This window comes from Homo sapiens, chromosome 2 (genome assembly GCF_000001405.40).
Source record: "Homo sapiens chromosome 2, GRCh38.p14 Primary Assembly".
Taxonomy (NCBI): Eukaryota; Metazoa; Chordata; class Mammalia; order Primates; family Hominidae; genus Homo; species Homo sapiens.
Window position 1 is genome coordinate 95,636,765 of NC_000002.12, and position 14,389 is coordinate 95,651,153.

General features: G+C 46.8%; 1 long non-coding RNA gene across 1 annotated transcript, besides 1 other annotated feature; it reads right to left on the reverse strand.

Moving 5' to 3' along the window:
• Nucleotides 1-325: 325 nt before the first annotated feature.
• Nucleotides 326-5,037, reverse strand: LOC124905589 (uncharacterized). The gene is made up of 2 exons (XR_007087141.1): nucleotides 4,992-5,037; nucleotides 326-4,646 (listed from the first exon to the last, which is right to left on the reverse strand). It is a non-coding gene; the product is annotated as an uncharacterized LOC124905589 (long non-coding RNA).
• Nucleotides 12,439-13,129: an enhancer, noted in NCBI's record as "H3K27ac-H3K4me1 hESC enhancer chr2:96314951-96315641 (GRCh37/hg19 assembly coordinates)". NCBI's record gives its function as "activates a minimal SCP1, AML or CMV promoter by ChIP-STARR-seq in primed H9 embryonic stem cells {active_cell/tissue: H9 hESC(primed)}" and the evidence as "EXISTENCE:reporter gene assay evidence [ECO:0000049][PMID:30033119]".

Below are 14,389 nucleotides of genomic sequence, written 5' to 3' on the forward strand. Positions count from 1 at the left end.
TACCCCTGTATTACTATTGATTTTGGCTACTGAATGTAACCAAAATCAACAGGGATACTGAGAAATATTATTTAATGAAGATATAAATTGGATGCTTATCAAATTGATAGGCTCAGTCAATTTTCTTTAGCTCAGGAACAAACTATTGATGGACACAGATCTTAACAGAATGACAATGATACAGATAAAAGACTGAAAACCTGTTAGGTTTTAGTAATTTCACCGATGGCATCCTACAGACAGTTACCTGGGAACATGTCATTACCAGAATAGAAAGTAAGACTCACTTTTTGCTTCAGAAAATACAGAATACTCAGAAGCCTCATTACACTTTAATAAAATTCCAAATTTATTAAGGTCTTTGAAATTTTTAAGACACATGTGCAGTAAAATATCCTTATTATCAGAAATATGTATATTTTGGTCATGTTAACTTGGTATGAAGCCTTTCCTTAAGTATCGACTGGAAATTGATTCCAGGACTCCCCACAGATACCAAAATCTTGGATGCTAATAATCCTCAGATGTCCTTACATAAGATGGTGAAGTATTTGCATGTAGCCTAAGCACATCCTCCAATGTACTTTAATTATCTCTAGATTACTTAAAATACTTAATGCAGTGTAAATGCTATGTAAGTAGTTGTTACACTATATGACTTAGGGAATAATGACAAGCAAAAAAAAGTCTGCACATGTTCAGTGAAAACGTAATCATTCAATTCTTTTCCTGAAATTTTTAAATCCATGATGAGTTGAATCCATGGATGCAGAACCCTATCATATGGAGGGCCAACTGTATATCAAATATCATATTTAATGGTGTATTTTCTAGTATTTAATTTAATTACTGACAATATGGCACACAACAAACATATCAAAAGTTTCTGATATGTGTTTTTTGAATTTATTTAAAGCAAGAAAATAATGCCTCCTTTAATGAGGATTGCTGAGGACAAAGTCTAAAAAAGGCTGACTCCATCTATAAGGAGTAACTCTGATCTACAAGTTTAATGACAGAGAGGATCTCTGAGTTGTTAGTCCACTGAATGTGGGACATAATTGTCAACTTCCTGATCTGTGAAAACAGTCTCCAAGCCACACACGCATTGAATGGTAAAGGATAAAAATCTAACTAACTAGGAAGGCTTAGGCACAACTTTTCAAATACAGATTTAGGTAGAAATAGAGAAAAATAGACATGAATATTGCTGAGTTTCATGTTTAGCTGAATTCATAGTAAATATTTATCATCATGAATATGTTCATCTCAGAAGCCAAAAGCGTACCTACTGTCACTGGAAGGTTGCATATATATGCATATATATGTGTGTGTGTATATAGATATGTATATATATAAAATACATATATTTCAAAGCGGTCATTCATATATATTTTTTCAAGCAGTAAGCTAATTTTCCAAGGACTATTATTATAGATACAGAAAATATACATATATACATGTATATTATATATATATATAGTCCCAGCACTTTTAGAGGCTGAGGTGGGAGGATCACTTGAGCCAGGAGTTGGAGAGAAGCCTGGGCAACAGGGTGAGACCCTGTCTCTCCAACAACAGCAACAACAAAATTACTCAGGCATGACAATTCAGCCTGTAGTCCAGCTATTTGCGAGGCTGAGGTTGGAGGACTGCTTGATCTGGGGAGATCGACTCTGCAGTGAGCTGTGATCTCACCACTGCACTCCAACCTGGGTGACAGAGTGAGAGCCTGTCTCAAAGAAAAACAAAACAAAACAAAACAAAAACAAAAACCTGATTATTTATCCATTCTTCCTTATTGCTCTAATAGCTGTATTCTAACATACAATGAGATTATATACAAGATGAGGATGGTTAAAAGAGTATAATGCTATTAAAATATAAGTGGCTACAGAATTGTATGTTTGCATTACTGCTGTCATTGGAATACAGATCCTGTCACCTTGGTAGTCAGCATAGTACCCAATAGGTAGTTTTTAAAAAATATATTATCATCATTATTATCATTTATTAATGTGGAGAATAGCCTTCCAAAGACAGCTGCAAATGTCCTTGTCACACAGAGGTAGCAGTCATCAGGAACTCTGCTGACCGATGCTTTAGGTGCCTGTTTACAAGGAAGACATTCTGGAAAAAAAAAGTCAGGAAACTTCAGGGTAAAAAAAAACAACAACAACAACAAAAAACACACCTTTCTTCCAAAGTAAGTATTTTCTGACACTCACACCTTCAGGCTGTTGCCCCTGTTGGAAGTGAGAGAGTGACTAGTTACTGGCAGTGTGACACCATGAGCACGCTCCTAGGCTAATGGAGCTGACTGAAGAGCTCCCTCCAAGACAGGTTCCCTGCAGCCCTCCCCTTTCTTTCTTCTGAAAATGTGTATCTTTCTTTTCAAGCCACGACTTAAAGTCTTATTTTGTTCCTACTCTTAGAAGCAGTCAAAAAGAGCCCCATACCAGCCATTTTATCAATCAATGAATTTTAAAGCAGAGGGATAGTAAGGCATTATTTGTCTCTCTGGTCTTGGTTCCTTTTCTGCATACTGCAATCATTCAACTACATCTCACACTCTACCATGTCCACGACACCACTTATGACTAGCGCCTAGAAGACTGAACATCACTTGTGCCTACGTGCAGATAGAGAGAAAGTCGTCTGGTCACGTTACCACTTTGGTGGAAGGCACTCTTAAAAAATTCAACGGCCAGGTCTGCTATTATAAACACTGGGTCAAAACTGTGGTTGACTTCAAAGTGTTCTCAGAAAGTTTGATAATACACTATTAAAAGACAGTTTTCCACCTGAAAACCTCACTGGTGGCAACCTTCAATTGGCCTCTGCATTTCCTCTGAGCAGAAGCATCCAAGAGACGGAATCGTTTGCATGAGGAGTTCTTACTGCCACTATGGTTGTTAGAAAACATGGAATGATCCCTCTGCCCTCCAGGTGATTGAAAGCTATGCAAAACAAGGTTGTTTCTTCCTGAAAGGAAGGAAGGAATGGGTAAGAAAACTTTTAAGGCATAAATAATATAAAAGGGCTCACACTTTAAGACACATTGACATGACATTATGCTACAAAAAAAAAAAAAATAGTCATTTTCTCTGATTTGAATTAAGGTCCTTCAAACAGTTCACTCCCAGGCCTGTTTTGTGCAGTTAGTTACAGGATTGAAGTTGGAACATGACTGGTTGTTTGCACATCCTCCAGTTTCCTGGAGCTGCTGGAGGACCCCTGAGGGGCTGTGCAAAGGAACACCAGGCGGAGGCCATGTTGTCTCTTCAGCACAGTCCTCTGAGATAGGTGGCAGAATAAGAGGATTCCAACGTAAAATGTTGCTGTCTGTTTCTGAATAGACACAGCTGTCTCCTCTGCTGAACTCTTCTGGATTTTCTGCACGATCACAGCTGACATCGTTTCTATTATCCTGACAGCACTTTTTCCTCCTCTGTAATAACATACTTTGTGGATGAACCAAAATCACCAAAAACTGCCACGGATACTGTTACAGGGCCACTCAAAATAATACCAACGCTATTGTTGGCAATGGATTGGTAGAAACCCAAAAGAGAGAAGTTCAGAGAAAGCATTGTCAAAGTCCCCTGATGAAGCTTTGTATGTTCCATATTTCTATCCTTTTTTCCATTATGCAACCATGAGCTATGAGTGGTCACAGGTTTGGCAGAACAATGTAGTTCTACAGGTCCACCACCTTTCTGGACGGTAGAGGTGGCTCAGAAGTAAAATAAGGTGCCAAGTCTGAGCTCATGGAAGAGCAGAGAATCATGACAGTAACATATAGCAGTGTCCATATAGATCCAAGATTCACATGCAGAGCGCCAGATTACAGAAGCAGGCAAGGCAGGCTTCCAGAACAAAACTCAAGCCTTGGTTCACTTTCCAAGGTACTACAGTTCAGGGTAATCAGACGCATTCCTTAACCTTGACTCCTTCCTGCTTACTAAGACTTTGATCAGGGACAGGCTTCATGCTGTCCACAGGGGGTCTCCGAAACTCAGAGTAACAGTTGGCTTACATCTTCAGTGATTCAAGTCTGCAAGGTGTATACGATTGTGCTTCTGGGGGAAAGCAGAGATGCCACTTTCTGTACTTACAATGGAGTTCACTTCAGTGCTAAAAGCACATCATAGCAGTTCTGCTTGTAATAAACTCCGAACTGGCAATCTGCCTTTGAGTTGAGCTGTTCTCCTCCAAGATAAGCTGTTAAGTCATGCCTTGACTTTAGAGCTCTCGGCCGGGCGGGCTAAGCATCCAGAGGTCCTGTGTGGCAGCCGGCTGGGAAAGCCACTCTCAGGTCCTTCCCACTGACGCCTGCCTCAGCGACTATGGTGGCGGCTATGGTGGCAGCGGCTGCGATCGATCCGAAGGGGCCCCTCCACGCACCACGCAGAGCAGAGGAGGGCGTGGTGTCTTGCAGGCCGGGGCGCAGGCGCTGGGTAGGTCAGGCCGGCGCTGGGTTCTTGTTCTTCTGGCATCTTGACGCTGGAGCTGGGCATCAGGGCTCAGGGTAGGGGACCTGGGGCGCGCCCCCGCGGCAGCACTCCTCCAGGCAGAGGCGAGTGGGCATGCAACCGGGCGGGCTCATGGCTGCCAGGAGCATGCCAGGAGCAGGAGGAGGGATCCTGTGAGAGACAAGCGGGGCTGGCTGTAGAGGCCGCCCCAAGTTAAGTAGTTTTTTTAACCCATCCCTCTCCCTCCACTCTCAAGTAGATCACAGAGTCTATTTTTCCCATACTGATGTCTCTGTGTGTTCAATGCTTAGCTCCCAATTATAAGTGAGAACATACAGCATTTAATTTTCTGATTCTGCATTAATTTGCTTAGGATCACAGCCTCCAGCTCCATCCCCATTGCTGTAAGAGAGTTGGTGTGCCCAGAGTAAAGCCCTCCATTTAAGCTCCCATTCACAACTACACTGACTCCACACAACTACACTGACTCCATTCACAACTACACTGAGGACAGACCTTATGGTGAAGGTGGGAACAGCCACTGCTGAAGCCTCCATTGCTCAGTAAGCCTCCATGAACATTTCCATTTATCTCATTTGCTCCTGAGAGAGTGGTGCATTACATCATCTGCCCATTACTATCTGATCCTTGTTAGAGGTATCCTGGAGGGTCATATTTCTCTGTGATACTCTGCTGGTGATTCTTCCACAGGCACATTTCAATGAAAACCATAAGAATGAGAGCAGCTCACCGGGCAGGAATGCCCTCCCCTCAGCTAGGCCCCTGTGGTCCAGCTCAGAGCAGCAGGAGTCAGGGCGCAGGAATCCTCTCCAACCAGTGCCAGGGCCCTGGAGTGGCTGCCTTCCTGACAGCTGTTCTTGGGGAAGTGCCAAGGAAAAAACCCAGGCCCAGGGCTTTTCAGCAGACTCAGGATTGGCTTTTGTTCTTTGTGGCCTTGGAATGCCAGCGGTTCCTGCTGTGGGCACAAACCACGGAACAGGGCCTATCCTCCCCAGCTCCTGGCAGTGCCCAGGGACCGTTGAAGGGACCAGGGACTCTGCAGGTTTGAGTGGGGCAAGGGAATGAGGTTGAGGCATAGAGAAGATTCAAGAGATCTAACTGGCCTTTTGCTTACCCCAGGAGGGCTTCTGGCACATTCTGAGTGGAGCAAACTTGGGTGCTTCACCCACTCCTTCATGGGGCTAGGCTCACTACAGGGCTGTGTCCTCTTGTGTCATGTTGTGGACCACACAGCGCCTGCCTTCCCTGCATCTGAAGGAGCAGCCTGGAGGGCTTAGGGATCTGGAACCCCATTTTCCTCTCTATGCTTCAGTGGCTATCCTTGCTGCTTGTGGCCCCCACACCAGGGTGGACATACCATTACCCCGAGGGAATGCTAAGCATGGTATTTCCTTCTAACAACAACAGCTACTACTACTGTAATTTACTAAGTATTACTTAATGCCAGGAACTGTGGAGTGCCTTCTACACAGCCCCATTTATCTTTCACAACACCCAGTGAAGCCAGGGCTTTGAGGCAACTGTGCCGCAGAGGGTGCTCTGGGTCACCCATTTGCTGAGCAGCAGAACCAGGATCTGAACTCAGGTCCATCTAACACCTGAACCAGCATTCTCTTCACTACCCCATGGAGTAGCTCCAAGGCATGGACAACTGTAATAACTCCAAGGAAGCATTAGAATAAACTAGAAAATAAACTTAAAAACAGTGTCAGTGTTAGGGGCCACTAGTGGACTGTTGAGAAGAAGCTTGACCCCAGTAACGAGATGTATGATTTTTAGGCCCACAGAGTGGGTAGGTAACTGCAAGAATGTAAAGGAATCAAAGGCTGGTGTCATGGTGAATCCCATCGCTCTCCGACTGAACTCCTACTGGGCTTGCAAAGCACAGACACAGAACACACTTGTGGCAAGAATGAGTGAGTCATCCATTTACACATTTTCTAAACTTGTTTTAAAATTCTTTCTATTTTTAGGCCTACCATATTTTATGTCATGTAGCGTTTCCTTTTATTTGTTCCAAACACCACTCCTTTGAACCTCCTGGAGTGTGCTGTGTCTCTGGTAATTTCTGTCCACTTTGTCCACATTCCCTGCACTTTATAGATTTTGATCCCATCTGCTCTGAGATTTTATTTTTTAAGTAGAATCACTTGCTCCAGTGAAGATGGCCTAGAGTCTTGAGAGAATGATTTTTTTCCTATTTGGGGTCTGGTACCCTTTATTCCATAATGCAGAGAGACCATAGGGCTCACACTGCTGGGCTGGGAATCTGGTGGCCAAAGCCAGAACCCTGGCACATTCTCATACTGGCTGTGTGACCTTGTGCCAATCACTCAACTTCTCTGAGCCAAAGTTTCTATGTCTGAAGACTGAGACAAATAATGGCACTTCTCTTGTACGATATTATGATGTTTAAGGCAGACAAAGTGTTTGGAGCACAGTGAGTGCTCAATAAATGTTAGTGGCTGAAAGTCAAACTAGCCACAAGAAAGATGGCAGAGAAGCATTGCGCATGGACCTTGGTGAGGTGTCACAGTCGTTATACCAGGGATACCGAGAGACAGAGAGAGGTCCCAAAAATGGCAGTGGGGCAAGGCGGCTGGGGAGAAGGAGCAATGAGGACAAACTGAGGAGGTGGTCTCTCAGGTGTGAGTGACCTTATTCCTCCCTTCCATCCTAGATCTGACTGTGCACTCTCTGGGGCTCAGGAGTCTTCTCTTACGGCGTCCAAGACTACAGTCACAGACTAGAGCCTACTCCAGCAGCTCAATGGGCTGCCAAGTTCTACTGTCTGAGAACTCTCTGAGTTCTGAGAGAGTGTTCCATGCTACCAGGGACCTGTGACTCTGGAGAGCAGAATCCAGAATAGAAGATACCATTCCCATGGCTTCCAGAGCCATGGCGTTCCAGGCTCAGTTTCTCCATGAACCCAGGAGTTGGAGGTTGCAGTGAGCCAAGATAGTGTACTCCACAAAAAAAGATTGTTCTGTAATGAACTGTATGTATAAATATTTTCCTGGAGAGATGAGAAGTGACAAAGGGAACAGTGGGAGTACATGTTGGGCACCTTTAGAATGAATATGGACAAGTTAGCTTCCCATAAACCTAGTCTGTCTTGTCTTTTTGCAGCTTTTGAATATCCCTTTAAAGACTAAAGGTAAGCAGGTAGGGAAGCGTAAGGGAGTACCTGGAGAGATTCCCCAGTCCAGGGCCATTGCCATTTTCCAGGCAGTGACCAAGGTGTACAGAAGCTTAGGATGCACGTCCTGACTGGGTAATGCTCCTGATCCTGAAAGCAGCCTTGACTGCCCACAGGTAACCAGGAAATAAAGAGAGGGTACACGCTGACCCCCTGAGATCCTCAAGCCACTTTGACAAGTCAAATTAGGTGACTGAGTTCAGTCTTATGGTCTCTTGTTCAGGATTCAAGAGATAGCTGTACTGCCATGTTTGAAACTTAGTCTCTCCATTCTAGAGCCCAAGGAGTTGTGAGTTGTGGAAAGCACCCTGGACTCAAAGTCAGAGAGACCTGGGTTCGTGATACCGCTCTGCTGTGAGCATTGACCTCAAATTCTCGGGTTTCTCACACTTAGTAAAACTATACATGTAACAGCCACATCTTATTAGCAGGGTGACGTGAAAATGATTTGTAAGCTATTAAGAAATGGAGAAAAGTAAGGGATGAGGCAATTATGATGATCAATATAATGCCATGGTTCCCTCACCAGGACAGCCCTTTCTATTTTCCGATCTTCCTCCCCTTTGACGTATTTAGCTGTACAAGCATTTACTGAGCATCTAGTAAGTGCTGGACTATCTGCTAGGACCTGGGAACACAGTGGCGACTGAAACAAGAACCATGTCCTCATGGAACCAATAAGCAGGTCCTGGTAGGGAGGTGTGCTTCGTGCTGTAATGTGGCTAGAGTGTAGAGGCGGAGGTGTGGGGAGCAGTGAGGGTAACCCACAGAGCCTTGGCTGTCCAGAAAAAGAGACCTCTAAGCAGAGACTAGAAAGAAAAGTTGGAATCCACCAGGCAAATGTGAGAATGTGAAGGGTAAAGGTGGAATGTTTTGGTACTGGCAGAAAAAGGTCCAGAATCCAGACAGGGCCAGGTACATTTAGGGAACTAAGTTCAGTGTAGTGGGAAATAAAGTACAGTAATAGAGTGCATGTTTGTATGTGTGTGTGTGTGTGTGTGTGTGTGTGTGTGTTATCTGTAGTGAGAGCTGAGAGATGGGTCTGGGAAAGTGTGCTGGGTTAGATCACAAAAATCTTTGTAGGCATGTTGCGAAATGTGGACTTTATACTAAAAAGCAAAGGGATCTTAGTTGGGGAAAGTGAAGGAACAGACATGTTTTGGAAAGCTTTTTCTGGCTACAGTGTGGCGAATGGATTGCAGGAGGCCAGGTTGTAGGCAGGGTGGGGTGTTGGTGGGGCACTGTGTTCCCATAATTCTAAGGGATGATGGCAGCCCTGAGGATAGAGGGAAGTGGTGATGGGGATGGGTGGGGAAATATTGTCATAGTCAGCTTTCGACTCTCAATTCTATCCTTGACTGCTGGTGATGGGCTGCAGCCCTGTGAAGACCAGAATGAGTGTAAGCCCCATCCTATCTTCCCATGTCCTTTGGTGAGCTTCAGCTTCCCCAAGCCCAGTAGTCACTGCAAGCAGATATGGCTCCTCCCACCTCAAAATCTTCCAGTGGCCCAGGGGAAGTTTCTGTCTGATGACAGTCAGATCAGAGAAGTGAGGAGGGGATGCTGGTCTAGGACCAATACTGCCATAGATGGGCTGATGAGATGCTTGAGCCCTCACCTCCAAGTCTTGGCTCCAAGATAGCTTCTCAGGGAACTCTTCTCCAATCCCCCTATTGCAAACCAACGCTGCCTCCCCCACCACGCCGCCACCGGCTTTATCCCTTTCACTCTGCTTTATTTCTCTTCACCATTTGACATATTGTCTACTTCACTTATTTATTTATCATCTGTCTCTCCCCAGTAGAAGGTAAGTTACATGAGGGCAGGAATTCTTGGTAGTTTTGCTTACTGCTGTATCCCCAGTGCCTAGAACAGTGTCTGGCACAGAGACAATGCTCAGTAAAAGCTTGTGCTTACATGAGTGTTCGATGGAATGACTGAGTGGCAAGGGTTACACAATGGCCTCATTGTGATGGTGTGGTGCTGGGTGCTGGGCACACAGCAGTTAATAAGATAAACACTGGACTGAAGTCTTAGCTGTGCCTGCCGCTCTTTGGTTCTTGGCAGCTAGTGGCAGAAGCAGAAACTCAGTAGCCTTTTATTGTTTACCTGGGCATGCTGCCTGCCTCTCTCTTTTTTCTGGATAGCTGAGGACCCTCTGAGTAGAATATGGGTGAGAATTGGGCACAGGCCATGGGCAGGGTCAGGGAGTGACCTTCCCCAGATCCCAAGGGCAGTGGGAGACAGCCAGGCCGCTCTCCTCCTCGTCGGCACTCAGTCTCACCACCGAAGGCTCCAAATCTCTGGGCAAAGGTTATAGCACCTGCTGCCCAGGGAACATGTGACCACTTGAGCGCTGCTGGGTTGGAACAATCCACACAATCACGCCATTGTACTAAACATGCAGGTCTCCTTGCCAAGCCACACCTCATTCCAGCACTGCCAGACCCTTTTGGGGCCCTGATTTACAGGTGCCCCAAAGGGGGAGGTATTGTTCTAATGGCCCTGGGGGAGGATGAGGTCAATTCTGTGGGGCTCACTTACTCTGGCCTGCGCTGAGATCCAGGGAGAAGTAGATGGGAGAAGGAGTAAATAACCGCGTTCTAGCTTCAGGCCCTATGAGGAGTGGTAGACAAGATCATTACTGTTTGACTCCTGATGACATTGGCATTGACTATTGTCCTCCAACATTTGCTTTGCTTGGTGAAGACTGTTGAGCACTTGCTGATTTTTCAGAAGTCCAAAAGGTTCCCTTCTGTCATGACTGGGTCCAGAAATTCCCATCAAGTCACTATCCATTCTTGAAGATCTTCCTTCCCAGAACTGGTTCTCAGCAGACCATTAGACAAGGATTTGGTGCTACTGAACTCTTGGTCTGTACAAGATTGTGTTTGTTATTGTCCTTCTAGGAGCAAGGAGTTCTACAGGGCTTTGTACCCTGTTGACACTCAGGCCAAGGTCACTGGTAGGTTTCACTCCACAGGACCATTCAGTGACTGCAAGGAAGTCCCTGCTTAGGCTGTTTATTTTTTTCATTATTAGTAACCGCACAGGAGATGGCATGATGAGGTAGAATCCAATTTGAATAAAGCAACCTTTTTTTTGAGACAGGGTCTCATTCTGTCACCCAGGCTGGAGTGCAGTGGTTTGATCACAGCTCACTGCAGTCTGAAGCCTCAACCTCCTGGGCTCAGGCAATCTGTCTGTCTTAGCCTCCTGAGTATCTGGGATCACTGGCGTACACCACCATACCCAGCAAATTTATTTTATTTTATTTTATTTTAGTAGAAATCAGTCCCGTCATGTTGCCCAGGCTGATCTCGAACTCCTGGGCTCAAGCCATCCTCCTGCCTTGGTCTCCCAAGTTGCTGGGATTACAGGTGTGAGCCACTGTGCCTGGTGTCCACAGGAACCTTGGTTCTAAAAGGCAAGTGAATAAGGATATACCTTTGCTTGGCACATTGCAAGATACTTGAGTGCCTGGCATGTAGTGAGTGCTAAAAAAAGGTGAATCTGAATCAAGAAGCTTAAAGCCAACCAGGGCCATTTTGGGTTCTGGATATTAGTTACAGGTTCAGAGATATCAGTTCTGCTTTATCCCCAATCCTCATCATACCTTTCCACAAAGAGAGAGGAAGAGACTGCGCCAGCACTCACCCTTTCCCATCTTCACTTGCAGAAAAGACCCTGGTTTAGAGGTCAGGACCCAGGCATCTGAGATGCCTTTGCCCCTGACCCTGGCTCTTGGGGGCCAGCAGGTGGTCCCTGTGTCCCATGTTTTGTCTCTCCAGAGTCATCCTCCAGGGGAACACACACACCCTGACCATGGGAAGGGAGGTCTGGCTAAAGGAGGAGGCCACTGCAATGACTGAACACCTACTTTATGAGCAAGCACCAACTATGTGTCAGATGCTGTCCAAAGCGTGGCGTGTCCAACATTTTCACCATTCTTGGTGCCTTATCTCTAAGGAAAAAGGTCTGCAACCTTGAACTTCTGAGTTGGACTGTCTTGGAGACTCCTCTATGCAAGTTACTGTGGGACCTTAACAGGTGATTTAGCCCTTCTGAACCCCCAGTGACCTCACCTGTGGAATGGGGATCATGAGAACACCTTCATTTCAGGAGTTGTGTGAGGATTAAATGAGATGATGAAGCGCATGGCACAGGGCTTGTTAAGAGCTCTGCAAATTTTAGTCATGCCGGTGATGATGAAGAAGAAATGCGAGTGCTCTAAAGGCTCCCCAAGGTGTTATCCTTGGCTTCACTGCTGCCTAGAATTTGCAGCAGGGCAGCAAGAAGGCCCTGATGCTGGCAGTCCTGGGAAGCCTGAGTGTTTCTCACTTGCCTAGTGGCCTGGGGACAATCACTTTCTCCTTCCGCACCTTCAGATCGGGGTCTGAGGGTTGAGTCCCCAGGGCTCTGGGTCAGAGACACAATGTCAGAGTTGTTCCAAAGGACAGAAAGTCCCCTCTCCTCCAGGCGCCCAAGCCTCACCCTTAACTCCTCTGGGTCAGGCCACCTCCTGTCCCCTCTGCCTGCTGAAGGTGGGAGGAGTAGGGAGGAGGGGTGGGGTAGCAGAGGAGAAGGGCCCTGGAGGAATGGCGAGCCCCTCCAGGGCCAGGGTGTCTCTCCCCATCCCCGCCCAGAGCACAGCGGACTTTCTCTAGTTCACTCCTCCCAGCGGCTGGGTCTCCAGGTGCCTTCCTTTAATTAAAAGTATTTAGCCTTCCGCTACACTGGCCTTCATTTGTATGGGATCCTTCTTTTTATGCAGCCTCAGTATCAGAACGAGCCAGGAGGTTAACGGAGCGTCGTCCTGCAGCGTCCCGGGACACCAGGGCCCAGCGCGCGCTCTGCTTCCCCGCGCTGCCCTGTGGGATTCCGCAGGTGGCGGCCCTCACAGGTCGGGAGCTGTCAGGTTTCCAGCCCCTCCGCCCCGCAGGGCTGGGCCTCCAGGCGCCAGGAGAGGCGCAGCAGGTTCCCCATCCCCCCCGGCAAAGCGCATTCACAGCCCGCCTCTCCGTGGGCTGAATGAAGGAGGAAGACAGCTGTTTTCTGATCACCTACGTGTGCCAGACACTGGACTGAGTTCCGTGGGTATTCCAGGGAAGGACAGTCACAACTCCTGCCTGGAACTCATAGCTCCTCAGGAGGAATCTGTCTTGGTGACTACACAAAGAACTATGACATCAGGTAGCAGGTGGTTAAAAACTGCAGGAATGTTTCACCCGAAGTGGCACTGATTATTAGAGAAAAGCAGGACACGAACTGTCAGCGGCAGATCCTTACGAATGTTTTTTGTTTGTTTTCTCAGATGAACATTCTGATGCTTAAGATAATCAGGCAAATTCACCAAGGCCATGTAGATGGTGACAGGCGGGCCTGGGGTTTAAACCCCAGCCAGCTGGTCTCCCAGGTCCATCGTTTCCCATTCAGGAGAGGAAGCTGACTGCTTGAGACCAGACTCCTTTCCCTCCACGTACTTGTGCTCTGATGGAGGCTCAGACACAGACCTGGGAGACTCCAGATCATGGCGTTTGTTTCTGACTCCAGTCGCCTCTGTCTCATGGTTCTGGCTTCCTCAACCTACCTGAGGTTTTGTCTGTAAACTGCTCCTGGCCTGCTCACTGTCCCACTCAAGTCCCTCTCCATCCCCAGGCCAACATCCACCCCTTCCAGCTGCCCCAGGGTCTTAGGAGCCAAGGGACAAGAGCAGGAAGGAGGCCTGATTCTTACAGATAAGGAAAGGGAGATGCAGGACGGGCTTCTCCAGTTCTGCTTAAGTTTTTACTCGTTATCCCAGACTGACTCAGGAGTCCCACCCCCTCCCCCTCACTTCTGCAAGCTAGTTCGGATGGTCCTTTCCTACAAATTTCTCTTCCTTGGACTAGGAGACAGGCATTATGGGGGTGGGGGGTGGTAATGGGAGTTGCTGTGTTTCATTTCCATGCAGAGTGTCTGATGCAGAGTAGACAACCAATACATAGTGAATGAATGAATGCATGGGTCATAGATTGGGCTCAGAAGTAGACGTAGATGCCCATGTAAAAGACAGAGGAGGAAACAATGTGGACGAAAAGGTGGAAGGGGTGTGGAATCCCTTAGCCACCAGCATTCTGTAGTCTTCCAGAGAGTACACACCAGGGGTCATGCCACAGCCCCTCCCATGATACTCCCGAGGAAAGCAGGCAACATTTCCTTTCACTTTGCTCTGTGGAGCCTCTGGAACTGGGAGCCTAATGGATCACCATTGCTGTCTGGAGTCAGCCCAGAAAGACAGTCAGTTAATACTATTCTAGGTTCAGGGTAGACCTAGGTCCAGGGACAAGAAAGGGAATGATGAGCTTAGGATTTATTTTACAGGTGTGCTTTCAGCACGTTTTTAGTCACTCCTTCCCCTTCCCTGCCCGCTGGTGAAGGACCTAGAAGATAAAAGTGTTTCATTAGCACTTTCTCAGCCATGCACCCAGAGTGGGTTGAGCTCTCCTGTCTCACATCTCCTTTGCCACGGGTGCTGTGCTGAGTTGGGGGAAGGCGGAGAGACTGCTTGAAATAATGGCAGCATTCGTATCCCAGAGTAATTTAATAGCATTATCTCATATCATTTTCATGAGCAGTTGATAAGGTTACTGTTGATCTGTTTTACGGATGAGCAAAGTGAAGCTCTGATGAGCTAAACACCATACTCAAGGTC